This window comes from Homo sapiens, chromosome 3 (genome assembly GCF_000001405.40).
Source record: "Homo sapiens chromosome 3, GRCh38.p14 Primary Assembly".
NCBI lineage: Eukaryota > Metazoa > Chordata > Mammalia > Primates > Hominidae > Homo > Homo sapiens.
This window is the reverse complement of record NC_000003.12, coordinates 13,712,484-13,733,418: the sequence shown is the minus strand read 5'-3', so window position 1 is coordinate 13,733,418 and position 20,935 is coordinate 13,712,484. Positions and strand designations below refer to the sequence as shown.

General features: G+C 40.7%; 1 long non-coding RNA gene across 1 annotated transcript in view, besides 2 other annotated features; it reads right to left on the bottom strand.

Annotated features, from left to right (window-relative positions):
- LINC00620 (long intergenic non-protein coding RNA 620) overlaps positions 1-20,935 on the bottom strand; it is a 95,915-nt gene that overhangs the window by 13,217 nt on the left and 61,763 nt on the right. The window contains exons 3-4 of the long non-coding RNA NR_027103.1: positions 15,659-15,731; positions 15,065-15,183 (exon numbers count right to left, since the gene is read on the bottom strand). This is a non-coding gene — a long non-coding RNA (long intergenic non-protein coding RNA 620). The remainder of the gene's footprint in view (positions 1-15,064; positions 15,184-15,658; positions 15,732-20,935) is intronic.
- Positions 4,181-4,767: an enhancer, noted in NCBI's record as "OCT4-NANOG-H3K27ac hESC enhancer chr3:13770150-13770736 (GRCh37/hg19 assembly coordinates)". NCBI's record gives its function as "activates a minimal SCP1, AML or CMV promoter by ChIP-STARR-seq in naive H9 embryonic stem cells {active_cell/tissue: H9 hESC(naive)}" and the evidence as "EXISTENCE:reporter gene assay evidence [ECO:0000049][PMID:30033119]".
- Positions 4,768-5,354: an enhancer, noted in NCBI's record as "OCT4-NANOG-H3K27ac-H3K4me1 hESC enhancer chr3:13769563-13770149 (GRCh37/hg19 assembly coordinates)". NCBI's record gives its function as "activates a minimal SCP1, AML or CMV promoter by ChIP-STARR-seq in naive H9 embryonic stem cells {active_cell/tissue: H9 hESC(naive)}" and the evidence as "EXISTENCE:reporter gene assay evidence [ECO:0000049][PMID:30033119]".

The window sequence follows — 20,935 nt, the reverse complement described above, 5'->3', positions numbered from 1 at the left end:
TAAGATCAGAACAGAACTGAAGGAGATAGAGACACAAAAAAATCCCTTCAAAAAAATCAATGAATCCATGAGCTGGTTTTTTGAAATGATCAACAAACTAGATAGACTGCTAGCAAGATTAATAAAGAAGGTAAGAGAGAAGAATCAAATGGACGCAACAAAAAATGATAAAGGGAATATCACCACTGATCCCACAGAAATACAAACTACCATCAGAGAATACTATAAACACCTCTATGCAAATGAACTAGAAAATCTTGAAGAAATGGATAAATTCCTGGACTCATACACCCTCCCAAGTCTAAACCAGGAAGAAGTCGAATCCCTGAATAGACCAGTAACAAGTTCTGAAATTTAGGCAGTAATTAATAGCCTACCAACCAAAAAAAGTCCAGGACCAGACAGATTCACAGCTGAATTTTACGAGAGGTATAAAAAGGAGCTGGTACCATTCTTTCTGAAACTATTTCAAACAATAGAAAAAGAGGGAATCCTCCCTAACTCATTTTATGAGGCCAGCATCATCCTGATACCCAAACCCAGCAGAGACACAACAAAAAAAAAGAAAATTTCAGGCCAGTATCCCTGATGAACATTGATGCAAAAATCCTCAATAAAATACTGGCAAACCAAATCCAGCAGCACATCAAAAAGCTTATCCACCACAATCAAGTCAGCTTCATCCCTGGATGCAAGACTGGTTCCACATATGCAAATCAACAAATGTAATCCATCACATGAACAGAACCAATGACAAAAACCACATGATTATCTCAATAGATGCAGAAAAGGCATTTGACAAAATTCGACACCCCTTCATGCTAAAAATTCTCAATAAACTAGGTATTGATGGAACATATCTCAAAATAACAAGAGCTACTTATAGAAACTCACAGCCAATATCATACTGAATGGGCAAAAACTGGAAGCATTCCCTCTGAAAACCAGCACAAGACAAGGATGCCCTCTCTCACCATGCCTATTCAACCTAGTATTGCAAGTTCCGGCCGGGGCAATCAGGCAAAAGAAAGAAATAAAGGTATTCAAATAGGAAGAGAGGAAATCAAACTGTCTCTGTTTGCAGATGACATGATTGTATATTTAGAAAACCCCATCGTCTCAAGCCCAAAATCTCCTTATGCTGATAAGCAACTTCAGCAAAGTCTCAGGATACAAAATTAATGTGCAAAAATCATAAGCATTCCTATACACGAATAATAGACAAACAGAGAGCCAAATCATGAGTGAACTCCCATTCAAAATTTCTACAAAAAGAATAAAATACCTAGGAATACAACTTACAAGGGATATGAAGGACCTCTTCAAGGAGAACTACAAACCACTGCTCAAGGAAATAAGAGGGGACACAAACAAATGGAAAAACATTCCATGCTCATGGATAGGAAGAATCAGTATCATGAAAATAGCCATACTGCCCAAAGTAATTTATAGATTCAATGCTAACCCCATCAAGCTACCGTCAACTTTCTTCACAGAATTAGAAAAAACTACTTTAAATTTCATATAGAACCAAAAAAGAGCCTGTAAGCTGAGACAATCCTAGGCAAAAAGAACAAAGCTGGAAGCATCACCCTACCTGACTTCAAACTATACTACAAGGCTACAGGAACAAAAACAGCATGGTACTGGTACCAAAACAGATATATAGACCAATGGGACAGAACAGAGGCCTCAGAAATAACACCACAAATCTACAACCAGCTGATCTTTGACAAACCTGACAAAAACAAGCAATGGGGAAAGGATTCCCTATTTAATAAATGGCGTTGGGAAAACTGGCTAGCCATATGCAAAAAAACTGAAACTGGACCTTTTTCTTACACCTTATACAAAAATTAACTCAAGATGGATTAAAGACTTAAACATAAGACCTAAAACCATAAAAACCCTAGAAGAAAACCTAGGCAATACCACTCAGGACATAGGCATGGGCAAAAACTTCATGACTAAAACACCAAAAGCAATGGCACAGGAGCCAAAATTGACAAATGGGATCTAATTAAACTAAAGAGCTTCTGCACAGCAAAAGAAACTGTCATCAGAATGATGAGGCAACCTACAGAACGGGAGAAAATTTTTGCATCTATCCATCTGACAAAGGACTAATATCCAGAATCTACAAAGAACTTGAACAAATTTACAGAAAAAAACAAAGAACCCCATAAAAAAGTGGGCAAAGGATATGAACAGACATTTCTCAAAAGAAGATATTTATGCAGCCAACAAACATATGAAAAAAAGCTCATCATCACTGGTCATTAGAGAAACGCAAATCAAAACCATAATGAGATACCATCTCATGCCAGTTAGAATGGTGATCTTAAAAAGTCAGGGAACAACAGATGCTGGAGAGGATGTGAAGAAATAGGAATGCTTTTACACTGTTGGTGGGAGCGTAAATTAGTTCAACAATTGTGGAAGACAGTGTGGTGATTCCTCAAGGATCTAGAACCAGAAATACCATTTGACCCAGCAATCCCATTACTGGGTATATACCCAAAGGATTATAAATCCTTCTACTATAAAGACACATGCACATGTATGTTTACTGCGGCACTGTTGACAATAGCAAAGACTTTGAACCAACCCAAATGCCCATCATTGATAGACTGGATAAAGAAAATGTATCACATATATACCATGGAATACTATGCAGCCATAAAAAGGATGAGTTCGTGTCCTTTGCAGGGACATAGATGAAGCTGGAAACCATCTTCTCAGCAAACTAACACAAGAACAGAAAACCAAACACCACACATTCTCACTCATAAGTGGGAGTTGAACAATGAGAACACATGGACATAGGGAGGGGAACATTACACACTGGGGCCTGTCAGGGGATGGGGGGCTAGGGGAAGGATAGCATTAGGAGAAATATCTAATGTAGATGACAGGTTGATGGGTACAGCAAACCACCATGGCATGTGTATACCTATGTAAAAAACCTGCACGTTCTGCACACGTACCCCAGAACTTAAAGCATAATTTTAAAAATTTTTTGAAGTAGACTGTGATAAGTTAAGATGCATATTGAAATCTCTATAACAATCATTAAGAAAATAACCAAAAATATAGAAAAAAATCGGTGAAATTAAAATGGTACACTAAATAATATTCACTTAACATGAAGGAAAGCAGTCAAGGAAAAACAGAGAAATAAAAAAGACAGGAGACAGAAAACAATAGTGAAATGGCCAATCTAAGTCTAACCATATTAATAGTTACATTAAGCAAATGATTTAACTACCCAAATATAAAGGCACAGATGGTTAGACTGCATTAAAAAAGTGAGATCTAACTATAAACTGTTGATAAGAGACAAAGTTTAGAGTTAAAGACACAAATTAGTTGAAAGCAAAGGGATGGAAAAAGATCCATACTGTACAATAATAACTATACAAAGCCACAGTGGCTACATTAATATCAGACAAAATAGACTTCAGGCTAAAAAAATATTGCTAGAGACAAAAAGGACATGTTAGAATGAAAAAATTAAGTACATCAGAAAGATATAACTGCCTCACTTTTAAAATTATAAACATATAGACATCTAATAAGAGCCTCAAAATGAAGGAAAAACTAATAAAATTGAAAGAAAAAATAGACAATTCAACAATAATAATTGGAGACAAAGAAGGACATTTTTATGATAATAGATGGATCATTCTATCAGGAACATGTAACTGTAAACATATTTTTTCCAACAACAGAGCCCTAAAATACACAAACCTTAACTGACGGAAATGAAGAGAGAAATGGGCAATTCAACAATAGTTGGACTTAAAACTCCACTTTTAATCATGGATAGAACACTCAGGAAGGAGATTAACAAGGAAATAGCAGACATGAACAACCAACTGGATCTAACAGACATCTATAGAACACTCCACCCAACAACAGCAGACTATACATTCCTCTCAAGTGCACACGGGACATTTTTCAGGATAAACTATATGTTAGGCCACAAGCAAGTCCCAATACATTTTTAAAATTGAAGCCATACAAAATATGTTCCCTAACCACAAAGAAATTAAATTAGAAATCAACAACAGAAAGAAACCTGGGAAATCCTCAACTATTTGGAAACTCACACACTTCCAAATAACCCATGAGTGCAAAATAAATAATGAAGAAAGTTAGAAAATATTTTGACCTAATTTTTTTAATATCAGAATTTATGGGATGCACTAAACTAGTGTTTAGCAGGACATTTAAACTTTCCATCTTAAGAAACTAGAAAATGAAGAGTATGCTAAATGCAAAGAAAACAGAAGAAAGCAAGTAACAAAGGTTAGAACAGAAATCAATAAGAAATAAACAGTAGAGTAAATCAATAAAACCAAAATTTGGTTCTTTGAAAAGATTAATTAAATTGATGAACCTTCAGCTAGACTGACCCGGAAAAAAAGACAGAAGGCACAAATCACCAAAATCAGGAATTAAAGAGGAGACATCCCTACTTACCCTGAAATGGATTATAAGAAAATGTTATAAGCAACTTTATACCAACAAATTAGACAACTTAGAGGAAATAGGCAAATTTCCAACAGACACAAATAAACAAAATTGATTAAAGAAAAAATAGAAAATCTGAATACAACTATAATAAAGAAATTGAATTAAGAATGAAAATCTTCACACAGGACAAGATGGAGTAGTTGCAATTTGGCCTATTCTTCTCTTAACTACAGCTTAAAAACCTCATTTCATATGTAAAACAATGGTAAGACGCCAGAAAGTGGAGAGAAGAGAGCAGACAGCTAAAGACCTTGAGACCCAAGAAGCAACATTAACAGTGTGCTCCCTGAAGTGTCCTTTTGCCTCCTAGATCTCGGACTGTGTGCTAGAAAAACCAGAAACACCAATGGTTATAGAAATTTTAAAGTCCTACTTAAAGCCTGATTTCTGTAGCCAAAGGACCAGGAAAGAAGCAACCTAGCCAGACAGAAAATTTTAAGAAAATAACTGCCCTCCAAACAGCCCTATTCCTACATGGCAAAACAAAAAACAAAAAAACCTGTGTACTCAGCCCCACTCTTATCAGCAAAAGTTGAGTAGGGAGCCAGGACATTTGTCCCCACCCAGTAATAATAAGTTGTCCCTCCTTCTCCCCTCTGGGTGTTGTCAGAGAAGGCCAAGTGGAAAACAAGATTTTCACCATTGCCTAGTGGTAATGAGAAACCTGCCCCATTATGTCAGTGGAAGCCACATGAGAGGTAACAAAGTGTCCCTCTCCCTCAAAGCCATATTGTGTCGGCAGAGGCCTACTGAGGACTTTCCGCGCCCAGCAGTAACAAACTGTCAGCTCTGGGGGATGTCCATGGAGGCCTATTAAAAAACCTGGACCGGCCGGGCACAGTGGCTTATGCCTGTAACCCCAGCACTTTGGGAGGCCGAGGTGGGCAGATAACAAAGTCAGGAGATGGAGACCTTCTTGGCCAACGTGGTGAAACCACGTCTCTTCTAAAATACAAAAAATTAGCCAGGCATGGTGGCACATGCCTGTAACCCCAGCTACTTGGGAGGCTGGGGCAGGGGAATCGCTTGAATCCGGGAGGCGGAGGTTGCAGTGAGCTGAGATTGCACCACTGCACTCCAGCCTGGCAACAGAGCAAGACTCTGTCTCAAAAAAAAAAAAAAAAAAAAGCAACAACAACAAAAAAACCTAGACCTCCACTCCTAATTGAAGATTCAGAGCTTCTTAATGTATCACACAAAATGTTCAGGATACAATCACACCAAGAACCAAGAAAAACTCAACTAGAATGAGAAAAGACATTAACAAATGCCAACACTAAGATGACACAGAAATTAGAATGATCTGACAAGGATTTTAAAGCAGCCATCATAAAAATTCTTCCACTAGCAATTATAAGCATACTTGAAACAAGTGAAAAAATAGAAAATTTCAACAAAGAAATAGAAGACATATAGAAGGACAAAATGGAAATCTTATAACTGGAAAATACATAACTGAATTAAAAACTCAATGGATAGGTTCAACAGCAGAATGGAGGGAGTAAAGGAAAGAATCCATGAACTTGAAGATAGAGCAATAGACATTGCCTTATCTGCATAAAGAAAGAAAATAAACAGAAAAAAAAAAAACAGCAGAGCCTCTGCAACCTATGGGACTATCAAAAAAAAAAAAAAAAAAAAAAAAAAAAAAAAAAAAAAAAAAAACTAACATGTCATCAAAGTCCCCAGAGGAGAGGAAAAAGTGTGAGGATGAAAAAGTATCCAAAGAAATAATGACTGAAAATACTCAAGAGCTGAGCTGATGCCAGATAAGATACACTCAAAGATATCCACACCAAGACATACCACAATTAAACTCCTGAAAACAAAAGACAAAGAAAAAATCTTGAAAGCTGTGAGAGAAATATGACACTTTCCTATGTGAGAAAACCATTCAGATGACAGTAGATTTCTCATCAGAAACCATAGAGACCAGAAGAAATTGGCATGACATTTTTCAAAGTGCTGAAAGAACAGAACACTTAACTCAGAATCCTATACCAAACAAAATTATTCTTCAGAAACGAAGAGAAAATCAAGATATTCTTAGATGAAGTAAAACTAAGAGATTGTCACCAGCAGACCTAACCTAAAATAATGGCTAAAGGAAGTTCTTGAAAGAGAAAATAAGTAATTTAAAAAAAGGAATTTTGGAACATCAAGAAGGAAAAGAAAGAATGAAAGTATGGGTAAATACAGTAGATGTTCTTTCTCCTCTTGAGTTTTCAAAATTTTGTTGGAGTCACAAAACTTTTAAAATTATCTGATGTAGTTCTCAATGTATGCAGAGCAAATATTTAAGACAAATTATAAATGAGAGAGGGCAAAGGAATGTGAAGAGAGATAGGTTTCTGCACTTTACTCAAGTTGGTAAAATGTCAATACTTAGTAGGCTCTGATAAGTTATGTATGTACCATATAATATCTATAGTAACCACAAAAAATCTATACAAAGAGATACACACAAATACACTGTAGATAAATCAAAATGTGATTCTAATAATTGTCTAAGTAACCACAGGAAATGAGGGAAAAAATGGAGAAATAGAAACAGAGGGAAAAAACGAAAAGCAAATGGCAGACATAGCCCTTACCAGGCAAAAATTAATTACATTAAATTTAAATGTCATTATATTAAATGTAAATTACAGATTGGCAGGGTAGATACTAATATGATCCTATATGCATACAGCTATATGCTTTCTACAAGAAACAGATTTACCTAACACATACAACATTGCATCTACAAGTACAAAATGTTTGTTTTTTTCAAACACAGATGGAGCATTGATAAAAAAATTGATCATATCTTAAGCTGCAGAGCAACTTTTAACACAGGTCAAAGATTTGAAATCACCTAGAATACATTCTGTCACCAAAATACAATTAAGGTAGAAATCAATAATTTGGGAGGGAGGCAGGGGGTAATATATTTCTACCTTAATTGTATTGTAAATTATCACTTTTTTTGAAATTAAAAAATACACTTGAAAATAACCAATAGATCAAAGAAGGAATCACAATAAAATTCGAAAATATATTTAAGTGAAAGGTAATGAAAATGCTACATATCAAAACTTTTGGCTAAAGCTAATGCAATGATTAATGGCTAATTTAATACTTCTAGTATTTGAAAAGAAGAAAGGCTGAGAAATCAGTGACCCATCACAAGAAGTTAGAAAAGGATAACAAAATAAACCCAAAGAAAGTAAGAGAAGGAAAATAATAAATACCAGAAATTAATAAAACAGAAAACATAGCAAAGATGATCAATAATGCCAAAAGTTTATCTTTTTGAAAAAAGCAATAAGGTCAATAAACTCCTTACAAAACTGATCAAGAAAATGAGAGAGTAAATACACAAATTATTAATAATAGGAATTAAAAAGGAGATATTTCTATAGATCCTATAGACACTTAAAAAATGATGTTACAAACAATTTTATACCTATAAATTTGAAAATTAGGTAAAATGGACAAATTTTTCTTTAAAAGGCAATGTATCAAATGGTGACAAGAAGAAATAGAAATGTCATTTAACCATTTTCAAATTTTCATCTGTATTTAAATATTTTTCATGCAGAAAATAAATATACTGGCAAATTCTACAAAAACCATGGAGAAACAAAATAATTTTCTGCAAATTTTCCAGAAAATAGAAAAAGAGATAAACTCCCCCATTAGTTTTATGAGAGCAGTATAATGTTGATGTCCAAACCCTAGACTCAACAAGGGAATCATAAGAAAGAAAACTACAGCCCAATCTTATTTATGAACAAATAAGCAAAAATCTTAAAATAATAGTAATTAAAATTCAGTGATATGGTCTCTTTCACATGTTATTCTTTTCATATAAAAAAGTCTCTTTAAAAATGAAAATGATGCTTAGCTCCAGGGTCATACAAAAACAGGCTATCAGCAAGATTTGACCCACTAGTCATGGTTTGCCAACTCTTGACCTAAATAAAAGGAGATAAAAGCATGTTCAAGAGTTTACACCTAAGTAATCTAAAGAATCAATCAATGCAATTCCAATAAAAAATACAACAGGTTATTTTGTGAAAATTGATAAAATAATTCTAAATTTTGTACGAATATATAAGAGGCTAAGAATAGCCAAGTTCAATATAAAAATTGATCACAAAGTTTTTATAATTAACACAATGTGCTCTTGGCACAAGAATAGATAAATAGATCAGTACAGCAGCATACAAAGTTTAGAAACAGTCCCAGCCATATTTGAACATTTGAGTTATGACAAAGGAGACTCTTCTGGGCAATGGGGAAGGGATGGTCTCTTCAATACAGGAGAAAAAGGAAACCTGACCCCTACCTCACATCATATACAAAAATATAAATTCAGGAGAATCGTAGACCTAAATATGAAAGGTGAAGTAATGTAGCTTCTAAAAACTATTATGAGGCAATATCTTTGTGAGTTCTACTTCCTGCATGATAGTGTGAGATATCCTATGGACCACTCCCAGAGTAACTGGTGAAAAAAAAATTCTTAACAATCATTTAATGTATCTGGAAGTAATTCTAAGGGTGTACAGCTAATTAATAAACATTTATTTTTTCAAATATACTAAAATTCAGGAAGAACAGCAAGAGTCTGTTGTGTTTAAACCCACAGTAACTGATACAACAAAAAGACAAAAAAATCACTTTATTCCTCCTCTCATCCAGCTCAGTGAGACAGAAACTTTACTCCATATGGGTACAGCCAAGAACACAGGGTTTCCTCTCCTTCCAGCTCCTAGTCAGGAGCTAGCTTCCCGAGAGGCGCACAATGTCAGCATTTCTCATCCTGTTCGCAGCTGCCTGTTGCTGATTCTATGTTCCAGGCAAGTTCAGCCAGGCAGTGAGGGCTCCCTTCTTCTATCCGGCCCAACTCATGGCATGGAGGTTCTACCTTGGGCACAGATCCACAGAGACTACTGGAGACCCAATCACTCTTGCCCCACTGATGGAGCAAGGATTCCATACAGAGAGGCAAGCTGAGGAGACCTGAGGCTGTTTCCCCTATACACTGAGCACTCAATTCCTAAATCTGGTGTGTCATTCAGAGAAAAGTTTACCATTGCCACACTTCCAGCACTAGAGCTTTGCTTCAGAGATTTTTGCCTGGAGGAAGAAGCAGACCATAGAAGAGAGAGCTCTAAATTTCTCCCCAAAGGAACTGACTTCATTTGCAACCAAATGTGGACAAGTTTAAGCCTAAGACCCCTCTCAAAAACATTGCAGGTTGTGGTGAAAGGCAACTGGGAGGAAATTGATGGGTTCATTGGAGATATAGGCTAAACCATAAACAGCTATTTTACTGGAGAGAATCAAGGAAAGAGACAGCTGGAAAGAGTCCTCCTGGGGGTCACAACAGATCTCAAACACTGACCTCAGGAACTATCTGCTCAAAGGAGTCTGGCTTTGATGGGATCAGTCTTTAAAGAAATATATGTAGTGTTGAAAACAATAGGGCAATCAGCCACCAATTAGTGGAACTTAACAGATGAGTGTGGTCAGAGAAAGATAAAATTAAAGACAGCCCTGCAAAAACCACTGTCATCTCAGGGTGACTGTGGGCATACCCAAGGATGTACCCTCTAAGAGCAATACCAGAGCCTTCATGCAGGAAAATCAACTTAACTAAAATAATCCAGCAAGTCACAAAAAAGTAAACAAGTAAATAAGTTCCAGAAGGAAGGACTAATTTATCCAGAGTTGCTACATTATTTACAATGTCTACTTTTCAACAACAAAAAACTTAAGAGACATACAAAGAAACAAGAAAGTATGACTCATACACCAGGAGGTAAAAAAGCAAGCAAAAGAAACTGCCTGTGAGAGAAATCATATGTTGGATTTAACACACAAAGACTTAAAAGTGGTAATTGTAAATATGTTCAAATAACTTTAAGGAAATCATGATTAAAGGAGTAAAGGAACATATGATGACAAAGCCACATTAAGTGGAGATATTAATAAACAGATAGAAATTATTTTTTAAAATAATCGAATGGAAATCGGGAGTTAAAAGTACAATAACTGAGATTTTCAAAAAATTAACTAGAGGAGCTCAACAGTGTATTTGACCTGGCAGAAGAATTAGTGAAATTGAAGAAAAGTTGATAGAGCTTATGAAATCTAAGAGCAGAGAGAAAAAAATGATGAAAAATGAACAGAGCCTGAGAGAAATGTGGCACATCATTAAGCACAACAAATACATGTAGTGGGAGTATTAGAAGGAAAGAAGAAGGAGAAAGAATCAGAAAAGATATTAAAAGAATTAATGGCTGAAAGCAACCCAAATTTACTGAAAAACATTAATCTATACATCTAGGAATCTCAATGAACTCTGAGTAGAATAAACACAAAGAGATCCACAAACAGACAAATCAGAGTAAAAATGTTGAAACCCAAAGACAAGAAGAAAACCTCAAAAGCAATGAAAGAAAAATGACTCAGTTTACAAGAGAATCCTGATAAGATTAACAATGAACTTCTCATCAGGAATAATGGAAGTCAGAAGGCAATGGGATAACATATTCAGAGTGCTCAAAGAAAAAAACTGTCAACTAAACATCCTAGATCCAGCATAGCTGTCTTTTGAAAATGATGGTTAATTCAAGACATTACAAGATAAACAAAACTAGGATAATTTATTTACTAGCAGATCAGCCTTAACAACAGATACTAAAGGAAGTTCTTCAGACTGAAAACAAATGACCCCTGATGATTATTTGATTCCACATGAAAAAAAGCAATTATGCAAGTATAAAAGGCACTACAAATGCGTACTTTTTCCTTCCATTAATTGATTTAAAAAGTAATTATATGAAGCAATTTGCATATAATGTATTATTGGCCCTATCATACAGACATATAATATATTTACCAATTACAGCACAAGGAGATGTGTGAGAGAAAAGCTGTACTGGGATAAGAAAATGACTCCAGATGGTAACCCAAATCCACAAGAACCAATGAAGACAACCAGAAATGCCCACCAGAAGGGTAACATAACAAAAGCTATACGATATACTTGTTCTTCTTTCTACTCTTAGCTTCTTCAAAAATATAAAATTGTATAGAATAATAATTTTATAATAATGAACTATTGTGTTTGTACTATTTATAGATGCAATATGTGTAACAACAATATCACTAAAATAAAGGGAGAAATAGAGCTGCATTGAAGTAATATTTCAATTTCTAACTGAATTTAAGGTAATATAAATCTAAAAGTGATTCTGAAAATTTAAGATGATATATTGTCTTCAAAAATATAAAATTACATAAAATAATAATTCTATAATAATGTATTATTTTGTTTGTAATATTTATAGATATGTATAACAATATCACTAAAAGAAAGGGAGGAATAGAGCTGCATTGAAGTAATATTTCAATTTCTAGCTGAATTTAAGTTAATATAAATCTAAAGCTGATTCTGAAAATGTAAGACGTATAGGGAAAGCCCTAGAGCAATCATTAAGAAAATAACTAAAAAATATGTAGTAAAAATAATTAAAGAGGTATACATGCTACATTTTAAAAATCACTTAATAGGAAATAAAGTAATAATGACAGAGGAACAGAAAAGACATGAGAAAACAAAAAGTAAAATGGTGGAATGGTGGATGTTAATTCAATGACATCAATAATACCATTAATGTGACTGGATTAAACAATCCAATCAAAAGGCAGAGATTTCCAGACTGGATTTAAAAAAAAAAAAAAAAAAAAAAAACACCAAGATCCAACTATATGCTGTCTATAAGAAATACTCTTTAGATCAGGAAGATATAACAATTATAAACATATGTGCAGCCAACACCAGAGCCCCAGTGTACATGAAGGAAAAACTGACAGAATTGAAGGGAAAAATAATTCAACAATAGAATTAGATATTCTAATTCTAGAATATCTAATCTAGAAAGATAGTTCAACAATAATAATTATAAATTACAATATCTTATTTTTAATAATGTACACAAAAAATTGGCAAAAGATCAAAAAGGAAACAAATGACTTTAACAATACTATAAACCAACTAGCCCTAACAGGCTTCTATCAAACACTCTACCCGGCCAGGTGCAGTGGCTCACGCCTGTAACCCTAGCACTTTGGGAGGCTGAGGCGGGCAGATCACAAGGTCAAGATATGGAGACCATCCTGGTCAACATGGTGAAACCCCGTCTCTACTAAGAATACAAAAATTAGCTGGGCATGGTGGTGCATGACTGTAGTCCCGCCTGTAGTCCCAGCTACCTGGGAGGCTGAGGCAGGAGAATCGCTTGAACCCAGGAGGTGGAGGCTGCAGTGAGCCAAGATCACACCACTGCACTCCAGCTTGGCAACAGAGTGAGACTCCGTCTCAAAAAGCAAAACAAAACAATACACTCTACCCAACAACAGCAGAATATGCGTTCAAGGGTACATGGAACATTCTCCAGGATAGACTGTATCTTAGGCCACAAAATAAACACCAATACGTTTAAAAGGACAGAAATCATAGAACGTATGTTCTCTAACCATAAAAGAATAAAATTGGTTAACATTAACAGAAAGAAATTTTGGAAACTCACAAATATGTGGCTATTAAACAACACACTTTAATGAATCAAAAGAGAAATCACAGGGGAAATTAGAAAATACTTTTAATGAAATGAAAATATTTAAAATGAATGAAAATTAAGACACAGCATCACAAAATTTATGAGATACAGTTAAATCAGTGGTTAGAAGGAAATTTATAGTTGTAAGTTCCTAGGTTCAAAAATGAGAAAGATCTCAAATTAATTATCTAAGTTCCACCTTCAAGACAGTGAAAAATGAAAAGCAAACTAAATTTAAAGCAAGCTGAAGGAAGGACATCATAAAGATTAATTAAAGGAAATTAATGAAATAGAAAATAGAAAAACAAAAGAGAAAATCAATGAAACCAAAAGCTGAAAAAAAGATTAACAGAATGTATAAGATTGACCAAGAAAAAGTATATAAGACTCAAATTATTAAAATCAGAAATTAAAGAGGGGACATTACTACCAACCTTAAAGAAATAAAATGGAATATTAAAGAAATAAAATGGAATACTACGAACAATTGTATGCCAACAAATTAGATAATCTAGATGAAATTGTAGAGGTTCACTAAATGAAAATTTGGGGTTGGGGAGGGGGCTGAGGAGGAGCAGGGATTGGGCACATTTGTTTCCAAACAAAGCCCATTTGCCTAGTCCAGGGGCTGTAGATAGGGTCCTGGGAACCTGAGGTGTTGCCCAGGCTCTGCACCAACTAGCTGCATCATTTTAAGTCCTCCACCCTTTCTGAGCCTCAGTTTACCCGTCTTTAAAGTGCCAGGGTTGTTGGACTAGATGAGGGTTTCCCAAAGTGTGGACTTACACCACTGTTGGAATGGCAATGCTGCTATACACCAGGACCAGGATGAGGAGAGGCATTTCCTGTCCAAATCTTTTTAGTCCTTTTGATTACTTCCCGGCCAAAGTGTCAGCTTGGTGTTGGGTGTCCTCAGTGTGCCATCAACAGTTGCTAGTCCCTCTGGAACTAGGGAGTAGAGGTCAGACCTTGAGCTCAGGGGCTCCCCAGACAACAGGACCCCACTGGAACGTAATGGTCTTGCTCCATCACCATGTGCTATTGTCATAGCTACCTTCTGTTTACAGAAGGTGGTGGTGTATTTTTTCATTTACACTCACTTAAGTAGAGAAGTTAAAAATACTAAGTGAGAAAAGCGTGTTGTAGGGCAGTGTGCATTGCATACTAAAAATTGTCTTTGAATTGGAAAAATATATCAAATACATATAGTTCATATTCGTTGATGTAAAATAATAATCATGGCTTTGGGGGAGGGGCCGGGGTGGGAGACAGGATGGGAGGCAGACTCCCCTGAAAGCACTTACTAAACTTTTGATTTCTGAACCATGTGAGCACAGCTCAGATCCAAACAAAAATTAAATGTAAAAATAAATTAAAAATTAAGACAACCATGAAATAAATTATAGTAATGCTCACTCATAAGGCAAAAATCTCAAAGGTGGCACCCAACTGACTGAGACTGGGGAGACGCCGGGCTGGCTGGGGGCTGTAGTCCCCTCCATCTCTGGCTGTGGTGGTGGGGCCGCATTCCCGGGCACAAGGCCCACTCCCCACCCTCCACTGCCGCCTGGTTCCCAGCGGGTGCCCGGGCACAGCTCCCTCAGCCTGTAGGACTCCTATCAGTGCACAATGTCCTGTCTGTTTCTGGTGCCTGGTCAGGTTGGGCCTGCCCACACCAGACATGCCCTTCAGACTCTAGAGGCCCCCACCTCACAGCAAACCCTGGGCTGGGACTTTGGCCTGAAGATAGGAGCTGGCTGGAGTCAGTGTTCTTTGTGGGGACCTCCCCTTCCAGGACAGGCTGCCTCCTCCCTAAGTTGGTTTTCTTGTGTTTCCCCTAGAAGATAATAACAAACAGCACAGCTCTTCCGTGCACTGCTCTAAGCATCCATCTTATATTCACTCACTTCATCTGCACAGCAGCTCCAAGAGGGAGTTCCCATTATCATCATCATCTTCTTCATCACCCCATTTTCCAGGTGAGCACATAGAGGCAGGCTAAATACCTTGCTCGGAGGCCACACATCTGAAAAGGCAGGGTCTGGATTTGAACCCAGGCCCCCTAACCCTGAATCCACCACAGAGCTGGGTACAGAGCCAAGGCTCTACAAGGCCCTTGAGTCTCAGCCCTTGGAGTTCCAGCTGGGGCACCACAGCCCAGAGAGGGAAGGACAATGCACAAAGTCACACAGCCAGGAGGCCAGATCCAGCCCTGCATGGTGGAATCCCTTGGAAAAGGCTGCCCCATCCACATGGATGTATTTGGTTGGTGCAAAAATAATTGCAGTTTTTGCCATTACTTTAATAGCAAAAACCACAATTACTTTGTACCAACCTAATAATTTGTGCACCTGTTTTCTTGAGAGAGAGAGAGAGAGCGTGCGTGTCTGAGTCTAGTGAGCCTACCTAGCAGGTTCTGCTGCCAACAGTCCACTCCCCCACCCCACCCACAGCCCCTGCCCTCATAGCCAGGCCCCCTCCCCGCATTGTTCCCATCTCACCTAAAAGAACATGCACATTTTTCTGCGGAAGACACACCTCTTTCCTTGCTGCAATCCAAGGAGGGCGAGGGGACTGAAAATAAATTTAAAAAACACACACACACAGGCAGGCCAGAGATTCAGATCGGACAGATGTTCTTAAGAGACCCAGTCGGGCAGCGGAAGAGGCTAAGGTTGAGGATCAGTTGGACAGATTGGGTCTCAGAGCCTGTTTTGTCATCAGTAAACAGGGTTCCCAGCATGTCTTTTGCATATCTATTGTCAGGGTTAAACAAGATTTATGTAAAATGGCCTAGCTCAGTGCCCAATCCAGAGTAGGTGCTAATATGCATGCATTTCTTTTCTCTGTGCCTCAGTTTCATCATCTGCAAAGTGGGGATAATAACAACCTTCTTTTTGAGGTTTTCAGGAGGATTAAATGGATTAATAATTGTCAAGCTCATGAGAGGTGCCATGTAATCTGTGTGACCAAATGTCTGGATTTGCACCTGTCATCCTGGGGTAGCTGTTAATCATGCCCCTGTTCATTCCCAAAATGCCCTAGCTTGGAGCAAAAACTATTTATGCCCTGAGTCAAACCATTGGCCAAACGAAGAGTGAATACAGAAGAGAACGTGGTCGCCAAAGCCACATCCCCCCATGCTGCTCATCTGCACAGGCCCTTGTCACCCCAGCCTATCCCTGTGTCTCTCCCAGGGCAGGGCTGCCCCTCACAGAGGATCAGGATCCTGAGAGGGTCAGGGGAGGACTCTGGGGCTGAGCAGCCTCATTGTCACTTCCCATTTTCACCAGGGTTAAATTGCAGAGATGGTTTCTCAGGCCACTCACTGCCCTCCCAGGTCCTGCAGTTCCCCGCTTCTGTCTCTTAGGCTGTCATTCCATCTTTTGCCTGGCTCCCATACCCAAGGATAAGGCAGACCCAGTGTTATGTCTCTGGCTGGGCTCACTCTGGTTTCTTCTTGCCTCAGGCCTGCACATATTTCCATTGCCTCTCTGGTTGGTGGACTCCTAAGCATCCTTCAAAGGCCAGATCAAATGACCCCTCCCAAAAAAAAGCCTTCCTCTTTCCTCCTGGCAGATAATCGCTCCCTTCTCTGGGCCTTTCTCTGGGCTGGGCTCCCTCGCTGCTCTGAGATCCACCACTTCCTAAGGAGAGTCGCCTAACCTCTCTGTCCCTCTGTTTCCTCATCTGTGAAATGGAAATGAACATAACAAGATCTTCTTCCTAGGGCTGCTGTGAGAATTATATAAGCTGGTACATGTGAAGTACTTAGAAGCGTGCCTGGGGCATGGTGAGCACATAACTTGTTATTATTACACTCTATTAACTATCGTGATAGTAATCATCCTCACTATCACCCTCACAGCCCACCTCACACTGTCATTGGTGGTTTTCCTGTCTGTCTCGCTTATGAATTGGGGAGTACATACAAGGATAGAGGCTGTGACCATCTCTGGATTCTCAGCCTGCAGCCCTGAGTTGGGCAGAAAATAGATCCAAATGAATGAGTTCATGAATAATCAGATCCCAGTCACCGGATCCCTGGTCCTCCCTTTGAAAGGGATGTCACTGATAGGCCAGCCTGCTGTGGGAACCTGGGTTCTCTTGCAAAGCCGGGCCTGCCTCAGGAGCTCTTAGTTTTCCAACTAGGAACATGGACCATGAGCAGTGACCTATTGAGCAACAAACCGCCCCCAAATGGGGCAACCTAAAACACTGATTTACCATTACTTTCTATTCTGTTAGTCAGCAAATACAGGTAGGTTTCTGGCTGGTCTTGCCTGGACTCACCCATGAAGCTCCATTCAGCTGGGCTGAAAATTTCAAGACACAATGGGTGTTAGCTGTCTTCTGGAGTGACAGTTCCTCTCCCATGGCCCCCACCCCAAAGGCCAACCAGGATCCTCACACAGGGGCCCCCTCAGTTCCTTCCACGTGACCCCCACAATGGGAAACCAACCTCCTCACATGGTCCCCAAACCCAATAGTAGACCAGCCCCCTCACATGGGAGTCCCCACAGTTCCCTCCAAGTGTCCCCCCAATGGTAGACCAGCCCCCTCACATGGTGGTCCCCTCAGTTCCCACCACATGGCCCCCCAATGTAGAGGTCTCCTCAGTTCCCTCCACGTGGCCTCCCAGTGGCAGATGAGCCTCCTCACAAGGCAGGGGTCCCCTCAGTTCCCTCCATGTAACCCTGTCAATGGTAGACCAGCCTCTTCACACAGGAGTACCCTCAGTTCCCTTTGTGTGTCCCAACCCCAGTGGTAGACTAGCCTCCTCACATTAGGGTCCCCACAGATTCCTACACGTGCCCCTCCACCTCCAGTGGTGGACCAGCCTTCTCACATAGGGACCCACTCAGTTCCCTCCACGTGGTCCCATCAATGGTAGACCAGCCTCCTCACACAAGAATCCCTTCAGTTTCCTTCCCAAGCCTCCACCCCAAAGGCAGACCAGATGACTCACTGGCCCCCACCACCTCAGTTCTCTCCATGTGCCCACCCCAGTGGAAAAACAGCCTCCACACACAAGGGTCACCTCAGTTGCCTCCACATGACCACTCAATGGTAAACCAGCCTACTCACACAAGGGTCCCCTCACTTTCTTCCATGTGCCTCCACCAGTAGACAAGCCTTCTCACACGGAGGTCCCTTCAGTTCCCTCCACCTTGGGCCCCTCAATAGTAGACCAGTCTCCTCAGATTGGGACCCCCTCAGTTCCCTAAATGTTTCCCCACCCAAATGATAGACCAGCCTCCTCAAACAGGGTGCCCATCAGTTCCCTCCACATAGCCCCATCAATGGCAGACCAGCCTCCTCACACTGGTACCCTCAGTTCCCTTTTTGTCCCCCAACCCCAATGGTAGACTAGCCTCCTCACATTGGGGTCTCCACAGATTCCTACACATGGCCCGCTCAAAGGTGGACCAGCCTCCACACAGTTCCCTCCGCAGCCCCCCATGAATGGTAGACCAGCTGCCTCACATGGGGGTCCAAGTTCCCTTTACATGCCACCACTAATGGTAGACTAGCCTCCTCACACAAGGGTCCCATTAGTTCCCGTCCATGTGGACACTTAATGGTAGACCAGACTCCTCATATAGGGGTCCCCTCGGTTTTCTCCATGTGCCCCCCCAGTGATAGACCAGTCTCCTCACACATGGGTCCCCTCTCTTCCCCTCCATGTGGCCCCCTCAATAAAAGATGGGTCTCTTCAAATGGCGGTCCCCTGACTTCCCTCCATGTGGCCCCCTCAATAAAAGATGGGTCTCTTCAAATGGGGGTCCCCTGACTTCCCTCCATGTGGCCCCTGCAACGGTAGACCAGCCTCCTCACATGGGTTTCCCCTCAGTTCTCCTCCATGTGGCCCTCTCAGTGGTAGACCAGCTTCCCCATATGGTGGTCCCTAACTTCCCTACACATGCCCCACACCACAGTGGTAAACCAACCTCATCACACAGGAGTCCCCTCGGTTACCTCCCAACCAAATAGTAGACAAGCCCCCTCAAATCAGGTACCCTCAGTTTTCTTAATGTGGCCCCCTCAATGGTAGACCAGCCTCCTCATACGGGGGTTCCCTCGGTTTCCCTCCATGTGACCCCCTCAACAAAAGACCACTCTCCTCACAGAAGCATCCCCTCAGTTCCCTTCACGTGCTCCCACCCCAATAATAGACAAGTGTCCTTACATGGGTGTCCCCTCCAGTTCCTCCAAAAGCCCCCACCACAAAGGTAGACCAGCCTTCTCACATAAGGGTCCACTCAGTTCCTTCCATGTGCCCCCACCCCAGTGTTAGATGAGCCTCCCCAGATGGGGGTTCTATCAATACAGCCTTCCCAATGGTAAACCACCCTCCTCACATGAGGAGGTTCCCTCAGTTCCCTCCATATGCCCCCACACCAATGGTATACTAGCCTCCTCACACGAGGGTTTCCTCTCTTCTTTCTACTCGGCCACCTCAAGGGCAGACCAGCCTCCTCACACAGACTACCCTCCACAGGTCCCCCTCAATTGTAGACCAGCCTCCTCAGATGAATGTCTTCTCAGTTTCTGTCATGTGCCCCACCATGGAAGACCAGTTGCCTCACATGGGGGTCCTCTCAGTTTCCTCCAGGTGGTCCGCCAATGGTAGATCAGCCTCCTCACACAGGGGTTTCCTCAGTTTCCTCCACGTGTCCCCACCGCTATGGTACACCAGCCTTCTCACATGGGTGTCTCCCCAGTTCCCTCCAAGTGCCCCCACCCCAATGGTAGACAAGCACCTCCACAAAGGGGTGCCCTCAATTTCCTCCAAGAACTCCCATTCCACTGGTATACTAGGCTCCTCACACAAGGATTTCCTCAGTGCCCTAGACGTGATTCCCCCATTGGTAGACCAGCCACCTCATATGGGGATCCCCTCAGTTCTCCCTAGGTGGCCTCCCAATGGTAGACCAGCCTCCTCACGTGAATGTTCCCTCAGTTCCCTCCACATAACCCCACCCAATAATAGACCAACCTTCTCAGATGGGAGTTCCCTCAGTTCCCTCCATGTGCCCCCACACCAGTGGTAGATCAGCCTCCTCATGTGTGGTTCCCATCAGTTTTCTCCACATGGTTCCCTCAATGGTAGGCCAGCCTCCTAATATGGGGGTCCTCTCAGTTCCCTTCATGATCCCCCACCCCAAAGGTAGTCAAGCCTCCTCACAAGGGGGTTCTCTCAGTTTCCTCCACATTCTCCCACCTCGATGGTAGACCAGCCTCCTCACATGGGTGTCCCCTCAGTTTCCTCCACTTAGCCCCCCAAATGGTAGACAGCCTTCTCAGATGGGGTCCCCTCAGTTTCCACCACGTGCCCCCACCACAATGGTAGACCAGACACCTCAAAGGGGGTGTCCATTCAATTTCCTCCACGTGGCCCCCCCAAAGGTATACCAGCCTCCTCACAACAAAGTCACCTCAGTTTTCTCCATGTGGTACCACCAGCCTGCTTATATGGCAACCCTCTCAGTTTTCTCCATGTGCCCTCTCAATGTTAGACCAGCCTCCTCACATTGGGGTCCCCTCAGTTTCCTCCACATGACCCCACCATAATGGTAGGCCAAACACTTCACATGAGAGCCTGTTCAGTTTTCTCCACTTGCCCCCATTCCCATGGAAGACCAGCCTCCTCACATGGTGATCTTCTCAGTTTCCTCCACGTGCCCCCTCAATGAAAGACCAGCCTCCTCACACAGAGATTCCCTCAGTTTGTCTTCTTATATCCCCACCCCAGTGGTAGACCAGGCTCCTCACAC